Source organism: Homo sapiens, chromosome 19, assembly GCF_000001405.40.
Source record: "Homo sapiens chromosome 19, GRCh38.p14 Primary Assembly".
NCBI lineage: Eukaryota > Metazoa > Chordata > Mammalia > Primates > Hominidae > Homo > Homo sapiens.
This window is the reverse complement of record NC_000019.10, coordinates 32,761,148-32,781,428: the sequence shown is the minus strand read 5'-3', so window position 1 is coordinate 32,781,428 and position 20,281 is coordinate 32,761,148. Positions and strand designations below refer to the sequence as shown.

General features: G+C 42.9%; 1 protein-coding gene across 11 annotated transcripts in view, besides 2 other annotated features; it reads right to left on the bottom strand.

The window, feature by feature from the left end:
* Positions 1–20,281, bottom strand: part of TDRD12 (tudor domain containing 12) — a 109,814-nt gene that overhangs the window by 48,152 nt on the left and 41,381 nt on the right. For all 11 annotated transcript variants that reach the window (NM_001437947.1, XM_011527473.4, XM_011527475.3 and 8 more), the window contains 3 exons: positions 8,579–8,676; positions 7,897–7,973; positions 4,200–4,280 (listed from right to left, as the gene is read on the bottom strand). In NM_001437947.1, coding sequence (NP_001424876.1) covers positions 4,200–4,280; positions 7,897–7,973; positions 8,579–8,676 — 256 coding nt within the window. The remainder of the gene's footprint in view (positions 1–4,199; positions 4,281–7,896; positions 7,974–8,578; positions 8,677–20,281) is intronic.
* Positions 1,234–2,044: an enhancer, noted in NCBI's record as "NANOG-H3K27ac-H3K4me1 hESC enhancer chr19:33270291-33271101 (GRCh37/hg19 assembly coordinates)". NCBI's record gives its function as "activates a minimal SCP1, AML or CMV promoter by ChIP-STARR-seq in naive H9 embryonic stem cells {active_cell/tissue: H9 hESC(naive)}" and the evidence as "EXISTENCE:reporter gene assay evidence [ECO:0000049][PMID:30033119]".
* Positions 3,834–3,883: an enhancer, noted in NCBI's record as "active region_14434". NCBI's record gives its function as "activates an Ori minimal core promoter by ATAC-STARR-seq in GM12878 lymphoblastoid cells {active_cell/tissue: GM12878}" and the evidence as "EXISTENCE:reporter gene assay evidence [ECO:0000049][PMID:35858748]".

Sequence of the window (20,281 nt, the reverse complement as noted above, 5' to 3'; positions counted from 1 at the left end):
GAGATTCAATTCAAGAAAGATGCAGAGAATCTCAGGATGTTGGTGACAATGAACACGGGACATATCAGGCACAAACCAAAGCAGGCAGAAAGGGTCTGGAGGGATGTCCAAAGACACACAAGTGAGAACCTGAGTTTAGATAACAGAGGAGAATTCTGGGGATGAATCTTTAAGATAGATTAAAAATGGCCGAGCGCGGTGGCTCACGCCTGTAATCCCAGCACTTGGGAGGCCGAGGCAGGCAGATCTTGAGGTCAGGAGATAGAGACCATCCTGGCTAACACGGTGAAACCCCGTCTCTACTAAAAATACAAAAAAATTAGCCAGGCGTGATGGTGGGTGCCTGTAGCCCCAGCTACTTGGGAGGCTGAGGCAGGAGAATGGCGTGAACCCAGGAGGTGGAGCTTGCAGTGAGCTGAGATCGCGCCACTGCACTCCAGGCTGGGCAACAGAGCGAGACTCCATCTCAAAAAAAAAAAAAAAAGATAGATTAAAAACTTAGGGAAGTGAGCCAGGCATGGTGGCAGACAGTAGTCCCAGCTACTCGGGAGGTTGAGGCAGGAGGATTGCTTGAGGCCAGAAGTTTGAGACCAGCCTAGGCAACACAGTGAGACCCCATTAAAAAAAAAAAAACCCAAGGAAAGAAAAAAACAAGATAATTATTAACTTCAGGTAAACCAAAAGGCTATGTGAAAACAGAGAAGCAGCCGTGCTGTGTGACTGCAGAGCTCCGCAGCACTCACCTGCTCACAGCCCAGGGACAATGAACACTCATCTCACCAGAATCATGACGTGGGGAGAGTGGAGTCATGGGAAGAACAGACGTGTGGGTGTGATTTCAAGAGGGAGGAGGAAGGGTTGTACAACAGAGCTGCGTTCTCACCACTCACTGTGTTCTTTGGCAGAGGGCTCGGGTCTGGAAGGACAGTGTCTGACCCTGGACTCAGCAGTTTGTGTGAAGGGCATTTCAGTCCAGGCTTCGACATGCATTGCTGTTCAGACTCTGACATTGAAATGGTATCACAAAGAATGTGCATATTTGGGCCAGGTGCAGTGGCTCATGCCTGTAATCCCAGCACTTTGGGAAGCTAATGGCAGGCAGATCACCTGAGGTCAGGAGTTCGAGACCAGCCTGGCCATCATGGCGAAACCCCGTCTCTATTAAAAATACAAAAAAGTTAGCTGGGCATGGTGGCATGCGCCTGTAATCCCAGCTACTCGGGAGGCTGAGGCAGGAGAATCGCTTGAACCCGAGAGGCGGAGGTTGCAGCAAGGCGAGATTGTACCGCTGCACTCAAGCCTGGGCTACAGAGCGAGACTCTGTCTCAAAAAAAAAAAAAAAAAGAAAAGAAAAAAAGAATGGGCATATTCGGAGAATTTTCCATCTTCAATCAGTGGGCAGTACAAAGTAGGCTGATGTTAAAATGTTTAAAGGAAGACAACAGAAGAATAAAGAATGAATATCACAGTAGGCAAGAGGGACACAGAAGAAGGAAAGACAAAGAACTGCAGAGAGAGCTCCAGGGTACATTAAATATCAGAGATGACGTGAGTGGCAAGCAGGTACCACTCCACCCTCCTATGCTCAGGACATCTTAACCAGTTATGAAAGTACTCCCCGCAGCACATATGGCTGCATTGTCAAAGTCCAAAAGCCTCCTGAAAATAATGCTGCGAGGGTCAACACACAGAGTTGAGACTCACCCACCACCTAGCATATTTCCACGGGCTGGGCGGAAGCTGGCACCAGCTTAGAAACACGATCTCAGCCCAATCCAGGCTGCCTTGCCACCTCCAGAAGCCCTTAGCAAAACAGAGCAGTTTCTCTTGAACACCCAAAAATTAAGAGAGAGAATTTCACTAGGAGAGCCCTTAAACCTGGGTGTGGGCCCCGCCACTTCCTCTGCTACCCAAGTATCCAGGATTCCCAAGGGGATCCTGGTGGTATGTGATCCTGGAATGGGAAAGACTGCATCTGGGGTGACCTCTTCCAGAATGTACTGTAACTTGGGGGTTTCCAAATGAGTTATATGAAGGAACAGGCCCGAGGAGAAAGAAATACAACCGCTTACTGGTACTTACAGGCTTGAGCAACTCCATCAGCGAGACAAAAAGACAGGAAAAGAAAACCACAGGTGTCACACAGAGGAGGCTAGTGGGACACCTGGCCCCTGGCAATGAGCCAAGGTCCCTGTGCCCCTCTGCCCACATTGTGACAGTCGTTATCATAGTCCCAAGTGAGGTTTGGGGATGCGGCAATGCGGGTCTCTGACTGGCCATCCTTAAGGAAAGGGTGCCTCTCCTCCAGGCTGCCTTGGCTATCTCGCCAGAAATGACAGCACAGGGTTCCCCAGGCTTTGGACGCAGTGCAGCCAATGCTGGACCTCTGCGCAGTCAAGGGGGAGGGTCCCAGGATCACCAGGTCATCCCTGTGTCCCTAAGGAACTCAAAGCCTTCTTTGATGTTTAATCCTGAATTACCTCAAAGTTCCCTGAAACCCACAGGAGACTGACAGGATAACTGATGTTGTTTAATCAGTGGGTTCTAAGTAAAGGGCATTTTAACAGAACAGGAGACAAGACAGAACTTTTTAATACGAAAATAAAAGGGAATAGAATGTTCCAGGGTCATCCGGGCACAGTGGCTCACTCCTGTAATCCTAGCACTTTGGGAAGCCAAGGTGGGCGGATCACCTGAGGTCATGAGTTCGAGACCAGCCTGGCCAACATGGCAAAACCCCATCTCTACTAAAAATACAAAAATTAGCTGGACGTGGTGGCAGGCGCCTGTAATTCCAGCTACTCAGGAGGCTGAGGCAGGAGAATTGCTTGAACCCAGGAGGTGGAGGTTGCAGTGAGCCAAGATCATGTCATTGCACTCTATCCTGGGTGACAGAGCAAGATTCCGTCTCCAATTAAAAAATAAATAAATAAATAATGAAAAAAAGAATATTCCAGGGTTAATTTGCCAGGTTATAATTGAAAATAATAAAAGAAAGAAATAAGCTGTATGGCCTTCTGTTCCAAGGAAAATAACGACTGTGACAGCAAAACCTTTGGGTATTAGGGCTGAGGTTGCCCTGGGAGGGGGGTGTCAGTTAGGTGCATCAACAGCCATCCCCAACTCTGTGGGCTCGTGGAAGCTTTCAAAGCCTCACCCTTGAAATCCTGGGTGGTGTCCTGTGGGGTAAGAAGCCCTGGCAGGTCATCAGCATGGCCTCTGGGAAGCTGGGAAGCCCACATGGCTGCAGAGTCCACACCCTGGCTCCAACCCCCAAGGCCAACCAGTGGAAACAGCAGGACCTCCCCACCTCTGACCTGTCTCACACTTTGTCACTCTGGGAGCTCCAGGGCAGCTACAGTTACTTGGAATGTAAAACTGTTGAGGCCAATATGGTAAAAAGTATAAAAATGGCATGAGGCTGGAAGCTGTGGTCATGCCTGCAATCCCAGCACTCTGAAAGGCAGAGGTAGGAGAATCATTTGAGGCCAGGACTTTGAGACCAGCCTGGGTAACATAGCGAGACCCTCGTCCTACAAAAAAAAAAAAAAAAAAAAAAAAAAAAAAAAAATATATATATATATATATATATATATATATATATATATATATATATGTAAATCAGTTATGGTGGTGCATGCCTATGGTCCCAGCTACTTGGGAGGCTGAGGTGGGAGGATCGCTTGAGCCTAGGAGGTCGAAGCTGCAGTGAGCTGTGACTGCACCACTGCACTCCAGCCTAAATGACAGAGGAAGACCTTGTCTCAAAACGAAAATTGCTATGTAAATATTTTACAGATTACACAAGTATGAAATCAAGGCAAACTGCTCAGTTTCTCTAGCAGTGTTGCCTCAGAGAACTGGAAAGAAAGCAAAGACCAACCCAAAGAACATCAACAGCCCCAAAAGATCAACTGTATCTAATTTGATTTGTGACACTGTTCACTTCACCAAGAGAATCCAGAAGGCAAGGTAGAAAATGACTACTTACACTGGAACAAAGCTTTAAACAGAAAAATGTGCCCAAGTGGATGGAAAAGCAAAAATTAACCTCAAACCCTACAGGAGATATACTGTACATTTATTTTTTGATGGGAATGCAGGTTTGAAATTAATAATAAAATGTGTAGATTTCTCTTGTTTATAATTTTATTATAATTATTTCAATACACAATTCAGGCCAAGGAAAAAATTCTTACTTCACACAGCTATTCTTCTCATCATATTCTTTCTTCTCAGTCAATCTAAGAGGTTTCTCATTTGACTTCTGACTTAAAGCACTAGAAATGAAAAAAAAAAATTCATTAAAATTTGTGAACAGCAGCCTGGGCAACACAGTGAGTCCCCATCTCGACAAAAATAAAAAAATAAAAAATGCCGGGCATGGTGGTGTGCACCTATAGTCCCAGCAACTCGGGAGGCCAAGGTGGGAGGATCGCCTAAGCTCAAGAGTTGGACACTGCAGTGAGCTGTGATTGTGCCACCGCACTCCAGCCTGGGCAACAAGAGCAAGACCCTGTCTCTTAAAAAAATGAAAAATTGTGAACCCCTTTACCCCAATCCTGAAAATATCTTTATTTTCTGGATTAAAAATTTAAGAAGCACCACTGAGGAATTGGTTTATCTACATAAGCACATTTCTGTGAGAACTGGAGCTTAGTCCTTTAAGTATAAAAGTCATTTCTGACACTTCTGGTGGTGGTGCTGGACAGGATGGAGTAGGCCTGCCACAGCCTCTCTCTCCTGCTGATCACAACTAGAGATTCTGGATGAGGCCCCAACAGCAGGGGAGAGAAGTCAAACACTTGAAAAACAGAATCACCAGGACTTTCTTGTCTTTTTTCTCTCTGTGTCTCTGTGTTGACCTCAAGATGACTTTGTGGCAGGTGCAGACGCCAGAATCTCCAGGAGAGACTTCTTCCTTCAAGCCAGAGAAGCGGGAAGAGGCGCCCTTTAAACCAGAAAGTGTGGGGAATCCCCATTGTTTTTCTTTTCTTTCCTCACCGGGCCCCAAGGCCAGCTCTGATCTTGGGGCTGCACCCAGCAACAGCAACAGCAGTGTGGTGACCTTAAACCCTGAGAGAAAACCTGCACCTGAAGCCAGAGGAACTGGGAGATGGGAGCTGTGGTCCAAAGACTGCGTGAGGAAAATCTCCACCTTTTTTCTCCCTTACTTGTTTTATTCTCAAGGTATCCCAATTCCACATTACTGCACACCAATGTCTCCAAGAGAAACTATCTGGCCAGAGGAATACGGGGAAGGAGGCCCTAGAAATTGGTAACTGTGAGGGAAATTCTGAAAAGAAAGAGAGGTGGTTCATGACCCAACACAAGCCCCAACTCGCCCCAAGCTAAGCAGATGCAGAACAGGCCCCAGGCAGCATCGAGGGCCCAGAGCCTGAGCTCACACGGCCACCGCCACCCACAGTTCGCAAGGCAGAACATGAGGGCCGGACCTCATGGAGGTACCGACCTCCTGCTAAGACAAATGACACCAACCAACACTCTCTAGAGAATGTTAACAGAAACCAGAATCTCGCAACATAACATTCAAAATATCCAGAGTGAGTCCAAAGTTACTCAGCACACACGGGCCCAGGAAAACCAGATCGACTGCCAAGGGAAACGACAATCAGCAGGTGCCAACCTCTGGTGGCTCAGGGTGGCAATCTCTGGACACTCACTCCACAAGAAGAAAAGGCCAGCACTCCCAAGTGGAAACACACAAGTTCTCAGCAAAGAAATATAAACTTTTGAAAAAAAAAAACAAGGAAAATTTTAGAAACAAGAAATATAGGCCGGGCACAGTGGCTCACACCTGTAATCCTAATATTTTGGTAAGCCAAGGCGGGAGGATCACTTGGTCTCAGGAGTTGGAGACCAGCCAGGGCAACATAGCGAGACTTCCATCTCTGCAAAAAAATTAAAATGTTAGCCAGCTGTGGTGGTGTATGCCTGCAGTCCTAGCCACTTGGGAGGCTGGGGCCGGAGGATCGCTTAAGCCCAGGAGTTTAAGGCTATAGTGAGTTATGATTGCTCCACTGCACTTGAGAGCCTGAGTAACAGAGCAAGATCCTGTCGCAAAAAAATATAGATATAATAAATAGAATACTCACAGGATGGGCTCAATAGCAGAATGTGGATGACAGAAGATAATGAATGTACAGACAGATCAGTAGAATCATTGATCTGCAGAATAGCAAGATTGAAAGGCTGAAAAAATGAACAGAGCCTCAGGGACTTTTTGGACAATATCAAAATATCTGACATTTGTTTCATCAGAGTCTCTAAAAGGAGAGGAAAAAGATTGGTGCAGAAAAAAATATTTGTAGACATAATGACTATTTGATGTAAGAAAGCTACAAACAAAGAACATTAATGAACCCCAAGCATAAGAAATATGGTAGCAACGACAGCAAGGTATATTATGATTTTTTTTTTTTTGAAACGGAGTCTTGTTCTGTTGCCCAGGCTGGAGTGCAGTGGTGTGATCTCAGCTCACTGCAAACCCCGCCTCCTGGGTTCAAGCAATTATCATGCCTCTGCCTCCCGAGTAGCTGAGATTACAGGCACCTGCCACCACGCCCAGCTAACTTTTTTTTATTTTCAGTAGAGATGGGGTTTCACCATGTTGGCCAGGCTGGTCTTGAACTCCTGACCTCGGGTGAGGTCTGCCCACCTTGGCCTCCCAAAGTGCTAGGAATACAGGCGTGAGCCACCATGCCTGGCCAGTATATCATAATTAAATTGCTAAAACCAGTAATCAAAAGAAAATCTGAAAAGCAGTCAGAGGAAACAGCAGAGGAACAAAGGCACTGGTGACAGCAGAGGCAGTGCTGGGAACAATGCAAGAGAGAAGACAGTGGGACAACATCTTTAAATAAAGTGCTGTCAACCTAGAATTCTACACCTAGCAAAGGTATCCTTTTCAAAATGAACCTAAAATGAATACTTTTAAAAAAAAAAAAGCTGAAAGAGTTCATCAACAGCAGACCTGCAATGCAAGAAATATTAAAGGAAGCCCTTAGGTGGAAGGAAAATAATACCAGATGGAAATATGGAGCTACACAAAAAGTAAAGAACACCAATGCAACCACACAGGTAAAGAGAGAAGATATTTTTGTTAGTTAACTCTCTCTAGAATATAATTGACTATTTAAATAAAAGTGAGATAGAGTCTAGCATTTATGATATATGTAAAAGTACAACATATGACAACCACAGCATAAAGTCCACGACACGAGGGGAAGTGTGTTCTTAGACCATTCAAGAAGTGGTACAACATTACATCCTTTCTGCAATTTTGTTAACGTCACTGACATGTATCTTGAAGAGGACAAAGTACAGACCCAGCCTCTGATACTCACGAAACCATTCTTCTCTTTCCGCCCTGGGTAACCACCCACCCTGTGCTGCCATCTGGCCACGTGAGGCCATCCCTCTCATCAGGACCACTCTGTGCCAATCTTCAGACCTGCCTTACAGGGACAACTCTGTCCAAAAAGGCAAAGAGGAGACAGACTCTAGGGCCACTACCAGTTTTCAGTCAACTTTGCTGCCAACCAGGTGTCACATTTTTCCTTTAAGTTAATATGTTTAACCAAAATTTCCTGGGCCACTCTTTGAAAATGGACTATTTTCCAATCATCAATCTTATAGAACACTGTATAAGACAACATCACTCTTAAGTCTCTTGTCAATTACACCGAATTATTATTATTATTATTTTAGAGATAAGAGTCTCACTCTGTCACCCAGGCTGGAGTACAGTGGTACGATCATAGCTCACTGAAGCCTCGACCTCCTGGGCTTAAGCGATCCCCCCAGCTCAGCCTCCCCAGTAGCTGGGACTACAGGCAGGCGCCACCACACCCAGTTTGAATTTTCAAATCATACCTTGCTTCTGGTACATCTGGATCAGCATATATGGTTATGCCTCTTTTTGCTGGCCAGTACACTGAGGATTCAACACGCTGTAAAAGAAAACTTTTCTTCAGAAAGAATGTGTATGCTAGCAACATAATATACATTCTTTTGGAACCAAAATTCCATGGGAGTTATTCTCATGAACAACCATCCCAGACATCTTTCATGCACACACAGAGATAGAGAGATAAAAAACTGGAAAGTTGGGTGATTATGCCAGCGCTATAACCACTACATTAAATGTCCAAATGGCAGGCAGCTGGCATTCCAGATCGTCAGTACTTAAAATGTCCTGCAATTACTTTCAACCTGTCTTGTCAAAGGGACGGAGAGCAGATTAGACTTGCACTTCACTAGGACAATGCCCTGGAATCCCAGATTTTCACACCTTCATTAAAAGGAGGATCAATATCCAATTTTGTAGAAAGAAAACTAGGCCGAGAACAAGAGCTCGACATGAAGAAGCTGGAGCTACTTTCTCCTTTCAAAATAAGCAAACAAGCAAACTATATTTTCTCATGAAGGAAACTATCATGGCCAATGATTTTTTAATAGAAAACATATTTTTGGTTTCAGATAGATTTCAAAAGAGAAAATTTGAAAATTAACACTATATGAACTTTGTATTTAAAGAACATTTTTAAAATACAACCTTATTTGTATCTTTTAAAGAGATGCAATGGTGTTTCTTTTCAGATTTGTCTTTAGGTGAATCTCTCAATGAATCCATATTACATTTTACAGCTTTGTCTGCAAAATAAAAATGGTAATAAAAAAGCTACACCAAAAAGTGATATTAATAGAAAATAGGATAAAAAGGAATATAATAAAAGCAAATACCATTATAAAATCTTAATATGTTAAATTTTTATGGAATATGAATTTGTAGTAAACCTTACTCGAGGGGATTAAATTTTAAAATCTTGTCTCAACCTTTATTGTAAAAACAATTAAAATGTTCTAAAAATTCCCATACCAGCTAATAACGGAACACAATAGTATTTTCCCAACTTGTCAGATGACATTTCCCTCAGAAGACCATGGCAACATCTCCCAACACACAGGCTCTTCTTACAATGCGACTCTGCCTCCTGCCAAGAGGTGGGCTCTATGATCCTTTCCTGTGAACCTGGGTGGGCTCATAACCCACCCAGAAGTGGTGCTGTGAGACTTCTAAAGTGACATTACGAAAAGGCCACATACTCAGGATCTGTGGTCTTGGACGCTCACATTTGAAGCCCAGCCATGACGCTGTGGGGAAGCAGCCACATGGAAAGGATACCAGGACATTTCGGACAAGAGTCCCAGCTGAGGTCCCAGCCAAAAGCCAGCATCAACTGCCAGAACGTGCCTGAGTCCTCAGATCACTGCCCCCACTTAGTTAATGCCAGCCCTCACGTCTCCCTGTCTGAGGCCCTGGACAGTGTGGAATAAAGGCAAACCCTCCTGCCATGCCCATTCCGAATTCCTGACCACAGAACCCATGAGCATTATAAAATGGCTGTTGTTTTACCCGGCAATCATTTATGAGGGAAACACAGAGGCAATTCTAGAAAAGTGTCCTACTATTAATAAAAGGAACACAAATTGAAATGACAAGATACGCCTTTCACCTATTAAATAACTCATTGAAATAAGCAGCAGCACTAGAAATGTGAAATATTATAAAATGCCCTAACCCTTCTTTAAAGTAATTTGGAACCCAAGTCTGCATGTCACGTGGTCTTCTGGTTTGGAATTACATTATCAGGTAATTAACCTTTTAGCCAAAAAGATAAACTCTGGAACCAGGAGTGGAGGTGGTAGTTAAAATTCGCCAAGAGAGAAATGTTCATGCAAGATAAGCTCTCAAACAAAAATCACTAAGTCCGCAAAGTAGTTCAATGCCATCATAAAGAGTTAAAAAAAAAAAAAAGGAGATTGGGAGAGAAATATCCACATCTGACGATATGAAGATAAAACATCTGTCTGAAAAGGACTTTCAAATAAACTGAATTAAAATATCCAAGAAATAAAAGAAGTAATAGTATTTATGAAACCAAACAGGCCAAGTGCAACAGCATGCCTGTAAACCCTGCACTTAGGGAGGCTGAGGTGGGTGGATCACTTGAGGTCAGGAGTTCAAGACCAGCCTGCTGAACATGGTGAAATCCTGGATATGAAAGTTATCTAGGCGTGGTGACGCACACCTGTAGTCCCAGCTACTTGGGAGGCTGAGGCAGGAGAATCACTTGAACCTGGGAAGTGGAGGTTGCAGTGAACTGAGACTGTGCCACTGCACTCCAGCCTGGGTGACAGAGTGTGACTCCATCTCAAAAAATCTAAATAAATAAATAGCCTAGCACTCCCTCCACTTTCTCTCTTCCTCTCTTGACAGGTGACATGCAGCTCCTGTTCCCCTTCTGCCATGATTGGAAGCTTCCTGAGGCCTCACCATAAGCAGATGCCAGCTCTATGCTTCTTATACAGCTTGCACAACTGTGAGCCAAATAAACCTCTTTTCTTGCTAAATTATTGTCTCAGGTATTCCTTTACAGCAACGTGAACAAAGACACCTCCCTACTTAAAGAACTACGAAGTATATATTTGGGGAATGAGAAAAATAAACCAGTAGTACAATAATATTAATTATATAATCAACATCTACTTAGTACTTATATCAAGAACTATTCTAAATGCTTTATATGAATTAACTGATTCAATTCTATGTGATAGGTACCATGTGCGTTATTGAATTCCATGTGATTTCTCTACGGGCACAATTATTTCCCCCTTTTCAGATTAGGAAAAGCAAGCACAGAAAGGTGAAATAACTTGCCCATGTTTATTTCAGCTAATAAAGAACAGATCTGGGATTCGAACCCAAGCAATTCCACTCCAAAGAACTTGAAAGAAAAACTGAGTGCAAAATGCATTTACAAAACAAGTTAAATTAAAATTTTAGAAAACAGAACAGAAATGAAAAGAGGAGTTTAGAAAAGAAAATGTGACGTTCTTGATGTGAGGACAGACAATGATGACCTTGAAACTTCATTAGAAAGTATAGCTATATATAAAATTTAAGGCTCAGAGAAATGAAATACAATATATATAAGAGTAAAAAAGGAAGAGGGGGAAAATGGTCAATTCAAGAGGAGGCAGAAAATAATAAAGAAAATAGAAAGGAAAATTACGGTCAATAGAAAACACAAAAAGAGGCCAGGAGTGGTGGTTCACGCCTGTAATCCCAACACTTTGGGAGCCCAAGGCAGGTGGATCACTTGAGGTCAGGAGTTCAAGACCAGCCCAGCCAACATGGTGAAACCCTGTCTCTACTAAAAATACAAAAATTAGCTGGGCATGGTGGTGCGTGCCTTTAATCCCAGCTACTTGGGAGGCTGAGGTGGGAGAATTGCTTAAAGTTGGGAGGCAGAGGCTGCAGTCAGCCATGATCTCACTGCCTGCAGTGAGCCACTGCACTCCAGCCTGGGTGACAGAGCGAGACTCTGTCTTAAAAAAAAAAAAAGAACACATACCCACAAAATGAGATGATGAAAAGACGTCCAAATATATATTAAATCACAACAAGGCTGGGCACAGTGGCTCATGCCTATAATCCCAACACTTTGGGAGGCTGAGGCGGGTGGATCACCTGAGGTCGGGAGTTCGAGACCAGCCTGATCAACATGGACAAACCCCGTCTCTACTAAAAATACAAAATTAGCCAGGTGTGGTGGCGCATGCCTGTAATCCCAGCTGCTCAGGAGGCTGAGGCAGGAGAATCACTTGAATCCAGGAGGCGGAGGTTGTGGTGAGCTGAGATCGTGCCATTGCACTCTAGCCTGGGCAATGAGAGCAAAACTCTGTCTCAAAAAAAAAAAAATCACAATTAATGTATGTGACTTCTTAAAGAATCATAAGTGGCACTCATAATAAGAGAAATGCAAATGCAAACTCATCTAAGATACTATTTCTCACTGCAAACTGAAAAAGATCCAAAAACTTGAAACTCTGCTGGTGAGGCTATGGGCAAACAGGCAGTCTCCTAGATTCCCATGAGACTCCCAGATGATACAGGACCCACAGCACCTGGCAACAGAGATAAAACCATTCTTTGACCAGAAACCCTTCTTCCAGGAACCCACCTTGAAGATGCAGCTCCACAAATACAAAATAATATGTAGTGGAACAACTGGATGCCCACATGGAAAAAACAAAACCAAATCCTGACCCTTACCTCACATCACTAACTTGAGATGGATCCTAGAATTAAATGTAAAAGCCAAAAGTAGAAAATATAGAGAAAGCAAAGATTTCTTAAATAGGACATAAAATCCTAAAAGAAAAAGGATTAGCTAGACTTTACCAAAAATCAAAAACTTCTCCTCTGAAAAATACCATTAAGAAAATGAAAAGCCACAGACTAGAAGGAAATCTATCTATAATACAAATGACGTCTCCAGAATATATTTTAAAAACTCAGCCAGGCACAGTGGCTTGCACCTATAATCCCAGCACTTCGGGAGGCTGAAGCAGGAGGACTGCTTGAGGCCAGGAGTTTGAGACCAGCCTGGCCAGCATATGGAGACTCTGTCTCCATAAAAAATAAAAACTCTCAAAGCTTATTATAAGAAAACACGTAAACAGGAATTTCACAAAGGAGAACAGACGAATTGCCAAAAGGAACATGAAAATATGTGCAGTGTCATAAGTAATGAGGAAATTGATCTGCAATCCAGAAAGCCACCTCTGCCATTGCAATGAGAGTAACAGGGCTCAAGAGCTGAGAAACAGCTCCCATACCCTGCCCTTAGGGTATGGATGTGCTCCATCCAAGCAAAGTAAGCCAAAGAAAGGTCTCAGCGTGCAGTGGCTCACACCTGTAATCTCAGCACTTTGGAAGGCCGAGGCGGGCAAGATTACCTGAGGTCAGGAGTTTGAGACCAGCTTGACCAACATAATGAAAACCTGTCTCTAAATAAAATTTGAAAATTAGCCAGGCATGGTGGTGTGAGCCTAGTCCCTGCAACTCGGGAGGCTGAGGTGTTTGAGGCTTCAGTGAGTCATGATCACACCACTGCACTCCAGCTTGGGCAACAGTGCAACACCCTGTCTCTGAAAAGAAAAAAAAAAAAAAAGAATAAAGACCACCACCAGAAATGATAAATATGAAGGGAAATATAAAAACATATATTCTTATCTTAAAAATCTCTTTAAAAGAGAATTAAAATTTACAGGGACACACAAAATCTGAAGTCTCTGTGCTGGGGAGTGTGGCAGGGTCTGTTAGTTATCCTGGAATATCATTCAGTCCTTGCTCCAGATCAGGGTCAGCAAACTCCTTCTGCAAAGCACCAGCTGGTAAATACTGCAGGCTTTGTGGGATTGTGGGACAGGTGGCCTGGGGCGCGGCCACTCAACTCAGCTCTGACAGTGCAAAAGCAGCTGTATACAATATGTAAGAAAATGAGTCCAGCTATGTTCAGTAAAACTTTATTTGTAACTACTGAGATTTCAATTTCATATAATTTTAATGTGTCACAAAATATTCTTTCTCTCTGGATTTTTTCAACTATTTAAAAATGGAAAAATCATTTTTAGCTTACAGGTAGCACAAAAATAGGTGGTAGACCAGATTTGGCCCATGGCTGCAGTTTTCTAACTCTGAGGTAACAGAACCCCTGATTTTTAGTGGGAGCCTGGCAATCCAAAAGGAGGACAACCTCTCCCAGACCTTCATCTCCCATTAAGCATGGCTGCACAAGAACATTCTGGCCAAAGAAATGAGAGAGAAAGCACCATGTGCAACCTCTGAGTTGTACCCCCTTCACCTCTTCTCCCTGCCCCCCAGCTAGCTGGAAGGGAGATACAGTGATAAATAAATTGAATAGGAGGATGGCGGCAAAACCTTCAGGATGGCAAGGCCAACAAGACAGAAACAGCACAGACTCTGATGACCTGCCTGCACGCTTATGACATGTTAGAAAATTCAACTTCTTTCTTCTTTCAAAAAAAGAAAGAATTGACTACTTAATAAAAAATGATGAATTATTGTGGGGTTTCTAATATATGTAGAATTAAAATGCATGACAACAGTCTGGGCACAGTGGCTCATGCCTGTAATCCCAGCACTTTGGGAGGCCGAGTCGGGTGGATCATCTGAGGTCAGGAGTTCCAGACCAGCCTGACCAACATGATGAAACCCCATCTCTACTAAAAATACAAAAATTAGCCGGGCATAGTGGTGCACACCTGTAATCCCAGCTACTCAGGAGGCTGAGGCAGGAGAATCGCTTGAACCCAGGACGTGGAGGCTGCAGTGAGCTGAGATGGCGCCACTGCACTACAGCCTGGGCAATAAGAGCAAAACTCCGTCTCAAAAATAAATAAATAAATAAATAAATAAATAAATAAATAAATAAATAAATAAAATGCATGAAAACACTTGCACAAAGGCCAGGAGGGAGGAAATGGAAGGAGACTGCTGTTAAGTTCCTCATGCTATCCATGAAGTGCGTAATACTGCTTGAAGGTAGACTATGAGAAGTAAAGATGTTTACTCTAAACCCTAAAGCAACCACTAAACATACAAAACAAAAAATTACAGCTGACCAGGCATGGTGGCTCGTGCCTGTAATCCCAGCACTTTGGGAGGCTGAGGCCAGCGGATCACTTAAGGTCAGGAGTTCGAGACCAGCCTGGCCAACATAGTGAAACCCCGTCTCTACTAAAAATACAAAAACTAGCCGGGCGTGGTGGTGCATGCTTGTAGTCCCAGCTACTCGGGAGGCTAAGGCAGGAGAATCACTAGAACCCAGGAGGCAGAGGGTGTAGTGAGCCAAGATTGCACCACCGCGCTCCAGCCTGAATGACAGAGCGAGACTCTGTCTCAAAAAAAAAAATTATGGCTAATAAGCTAACAAAGGAATTAAAATGGAACACAAAAGGTGCTTAATCCAAAAGAAAGCAAAAAAATAGGGTAAAGGGAACAAAAACCAGATGAGACAAACAGAAAACTAACAGCAAGATGCTAGATTAAGAGCCAACAATATCAATACATTACATTATATCAGAAAGAGTAAGACCTACTACGTGATAGCACAACAGGGTGACTGTAAGTCTTAAATAACTTAAAGATGTAACTGGATTGTTTGTAATGCAAACAATAAAGCTTCAGAGAATGAATATCCCATTCTCCATGATGTGCTTATTTCACATTGCATATCTGTATCAAAATATCTCATGTACCCCATAAATATACATACCTACTATGTGCCCACAAAAATTTTAAATGACAAAAAATTTTAAATAAATAGCACTAAATAGAAATGATTTAAATACTCCAATTAAAAGACAGAGATTGACAGATTGGACACAACTATATGCTCCCTACAAGAACTCCCCTTCAAATATAAAGGCACAAATAGGTTAAAACTAAAAGGACATAAAAAGATATACTATGCTAATATTAACCAAAATAAATCTAGATAAGCTATATTAATATTAAGGTAGATTTCAGAGCAAAGAATACTATCTGGGATAAAGAGAGCCATTTAACAATGACTGAGGAATCAATTCATCATGAGGACATAAACATTCTTTTTTTTTTCAGCTGCTCTGTTTTTTTTTTTTAAATTATACTTTAAGTTTTAGGGTACATGTGCACAATGTGCAGGTTTGTTACATATGTATACATGTGCCATGTTGGTGTGCTGCACCCATTAACTTGTCATTTAACATTAGGTATATCTCCTAATGTTATCCCTCCCCCCGACCCCCACCCCACAACAGGCCCCCGGTGTGTGATGTTCCCCTTCCTGTGTCCAAGTGTTCCCATTGTTCACTTCCCACCTATGAGTGAGAACATGTGGTGTTTGGTTTTTTGTCCTTGCGATAGTTTGCTGAGAATGATGGTTTCCAGCTTCATCCATGTCCCTACAAAGCACCTGAACTCATCCTTTTTATGGCTGCGTAGTATTCCATGGTGTATATGTGCCACATTTTCTTAATCCAGTCTATCATTTTTGGACATTTGGGTTGGTTCCAAGTATTTGCTATTGTGAATAGTGCCGCAATAAACATATGTGTGCATGTGTCTTTATAGCAGTATGACTTATAATCCTTTGGGTATATACCCAGTAATGGGATGGCTGGGTCAAATGGTATTTCTAGTTCTAGATCCCTGGGGAATCGCCACACTGACTTCCACAATGGTTGAACTAGTTTACAGTCCCACCAACAGTGTAAAAGTGTTCCTATTTCTCCACATCCTCTCCAGCACCTGTTATTTCCTGACTTTTTAATGACTGCCATTCTAACTGGTGTGAGATGGTATCTCATTGTGGTTTTGATTTGCATTTCTCTGATGGCCAGCAATGATGAGCATTTTTTCATGTGTCTTTTGGCTGCATAAATGTCTTCTTTTGAGAAGTGTCTGTTCATATCCTTTGCCCACTTGCTGATGGGGTTGTTTGTTTTTTTCTTGTAAATTTGTTTGAGTTCATTGTAGATTCTGGATATTAGCCCTTTGTCAGATGAGTAGATTGCAAAAATTTTCTCCCATTCTGTAGGTTGCCTGTTCACTCTGATGGTAGTTTCTTTTGCTGTGCAGAAGCTCTTTAGTTTAATTAGATCCCATTTGTCAATTTTGGCTTTTGTTGCCATTGCTTTTGGTGTTTTAGACATGAAGTCCTTGCCCATGCCTAGAGGACATAAAAATTCTAAGCCTTTATGCACCTAAGTAACAGACCTTCAAAATACATGAAGGAAAAACTGACAGAACTGGAAAGAGAAAACAAGACAATTATAGTTGGCTATTTCAAAACCTCTTTCTCAATAATTGCCAGAACAGTTAATGGAAAATCAATAAAGATAAAGAAGATTTGAACAATGCTATCAACCAGTATGACCTAATTAAGATTTCTATAACATTCTAACCAACAACAGCAAAGCACCTATTTTTCTAAGGTGGACACAGAATATTTTCCAAGAGAGATCATACCTGAATCATAATAGGAGTCTCAATAGATATTAAAAGATTCAAATCACACAGATATAGGGTTCCATAAATGAGAATCTGGAACAACTTAAGGAGTCAATGAAGATGGACAATATAGCCAGGCATGGTGGCTCACGCCTATAATCCCAGCACTTTAGGAGGCTGAGGTGGGCAGATCACGAAGTCAGGGGATCTAGACCATCCTGGCTAACACGGTGAAACCCCATCTCTGCTAAAAATACAAAAAATTAGCCAGGTGTGGTGGCAGGCGCCTGTAGTCCCAGCTGCTCAGGAGGCTGAGGCAGGAGAATGGTGTGAACCTGGGAGGCGGAGCTTGCAGTAAGCTGAGATTGTGCCACTGCACTCCAGCCTGGGCAACAGGGTGAGACTCCATCTCAAAAAAAAAAAAAAAAAAAAAAAAAGATGGACAATACAAGTAAAAAAAGAAAAGCAATTAGAATCTCCAAGATTTGTCAATCTTACACTTTAAAATTTAGTGTAATTTCCAGTTTCCAGTCGAGCATGTAAAAAGCTTGATGGTTATCACTCTATCTTAACAACAAGTAAAAAGCTGAACACACTGAAAAATCAGGAATTCTTCCTAGGTCCATCAAAGTGAGGTCACAGGGCAAACTGTTGCCCCAGCACTGGAGAGACTGACAGATGGACAGAGAGACTCAGAATGGACAGGGGCAGAAACCCAGAATAAACTTCTATGGGACCAGGAGTGAGGAGGGAAACCTGAACTGTAAACTGACAATTTGCTGGAGGGTCGGCACGGACACCTCCGTTAGTTAAAACTCCGGGGTCAGGGGCTGGGTGCCACACTTCTGTGAGTTCTGCCTCCTGGAGCTCTAGCAGGTTCTCACAGTGAATACCACAGGAAAATCTCGTGCTTCGACAGGAAGAGGGGAAAAGTAACTACTTGGAAATATAAAGGGCGTGCTGTTCCTTCCCAAAAGGGCCTGACCTCAGGAGAAACTATTGAACCAGAGCCTAAACTACTGGAGTTTATCAGAACCTATCTAACCTAGAGGAAGGGAAATACAGCCCGATTTAACCTTCTGGTGGGGGAGGAAAATAACACAACTCAGTCCCTTCCAGCCATCCTGTCCCACATAAGGTGAGAGGTGAGGGATGCTGAGGGGCACCTGAGAAGCGTGCAGCCCAAAGGTACAGGCTCCCTAGAAGACTGACTCTAATTACAGGGCTCTAGACATTTATTTCCCTCTCTCCACCCCTCCTACCATTTATATGGTATCAAAATGCCCAATTAAAATCACAAATGGTAGAAAAAGAGCAAAGTCAAAAGAGGAACAAAAAAACAAGGGCAATAAATCAAATACAGTAATAAACATGGCAGACAGTAATCCAACTCCAGTCACGTGCCGTATGCCAACCTTCCATCAGCAATAGACCACATATACGATGGTGGTCTCATAAGATTTTAATGAAGATGAAAAATTCCTATTGCCTAGCAACATCATAGCATAATCACTATCTTTTCTACGTTTAAATTGGTTTAGATAACACAAATAGTTACCATTGTGTTACAGCTGCCTACAGCATTCAATACAGTAACATACTGTACAGGTTTGTGGCCTAGGAGCCATAGGCTATACCATATTGCCTATATGTGTAGTAGGCTGCACCATGTAGGTTGGGTAAGTACACCCTATGATGTTTGCACACCAAAATCACCTAATGACGTGTTTCTCAGAACATAGTCCATCAGTAAGCAACACATGACTGTATATAAATAATCACTTTAAACCCAATGGTCCTGTGAAAGTTAATTATACAAACTAGGTCATTCTTTCATCTCCAACTAAATCAGAGTCGAGGGGCCAGAGGAAAAGTACTCGAGGCACAGAGCACCTTCTTGGCCCCGCTGTTGAGGTGCACTGCTAGAATCCCAACACCAGTTTTACCTGGTAGCTACTGAAATAACCTGCCATGACTTTAAGACTAGTTTTTCCTACCGCCATTACCTACCAATCAGAGCTTGCCAGCTCCCAAAAACTTCTCTAGCGTCAATGAGCTTCCTTTCAAAACAATATGTAAGATTTCTCTAATAAAACTCCCAACCTTCTCTTTTCAACAAATGGTGCTGGAACAACTCAACATCCACATGCAGAAAAGTGACTCTAGGCACAGACCTTACACCCTTCACAAAAATCAACTCAAATGGATCTAAATGAAAAATGCAAAATACAAAACTCCTAGAAAATAACATAGGAGAAAACCTAGATGACCCTGAGTATGGCAATGGCTTTTTAGAGACAACACCAAAGGCACAATCCATGAAAGAAGCAACTGATCAGCTGGACTTCATTAAAACTAAACATTTCTGCTCTGTGAAAGATATTGTCAAGAGAATGAGAGACAAGCCACACACTAGGAGGAAATGTTTGCAAAGGACACATGTAAAAAAAGGATTGTTATCCAAAATGTACAAAGGACTCCTAAAACTCAACACTAAGAGGACAAAAAAGTCAATTTAAAATAGCCAAATCCTTGCCGGACATGGTGGGTGGCTCATGCCTGTAATCCCCGCACTTTGGGAGGCCGAGGCAGTCGGATCATTTGAGGTGGGTGGATCACTTGAGCTCATGAGTTCAAGACCAGCCTGGCCAACATGGTGAAACCCCGTCTCTACTAAAAATACAAAAATTAGCCAGGCATGGTGGCGGGCACCTGTAATCCCAGCTACTCGCGGGGCTCAGGCAGGAGGCTTGAACCTGGGAGGCAGAGGTTGCCATGAGCTGAGATCACACCACTGCACTCCAGCCTAGGTGACAGCACAAGACTCCATCTCTAAATAAATAAATAAATAAATAAGGAACTCCTGAAGAGATATCTCATCTGAGAAGATATACCAACAGCAAATAAGCATATGAAAAGATGCTCACATCCTACGTCATTAGAGAAATGCAAATTAAAATAATGATATTCCACTACACCCCTATTAGAATGACCAAAATCCAGAACACATTCTACAAAATAATAGGTCTGTAATCTTCCAAAGTGCAAGGTCATGAAAATCAAGGAGACCCAGGAAATGTTCCAGAGGAAAGACTAAAGAAATGTGTTCTCGGCCAGGCGCAGTAGCTCATGCCTGTAATCCCAGCACTTTGGGAGGCCGAGGCGGGCGGATCACGAGGTCAGGAGATCGAGACCATCCTGGCTAACACGGTGAAACCCCGTCTCTACTAAAAATACAAAAAATAAAAAAATAAAAAATTAGCTGGGCTTGGTGGCGGGCGCCTGTAGTCCCAGCTACTTGGGAGGCTGAGGCAGGAGAATAGTGTGAACCTGGGAGGTGGAGCTTGCAGTGAGCTGAGATGTGCCACTGCACTCCAGCCTGGGAGACAGAGT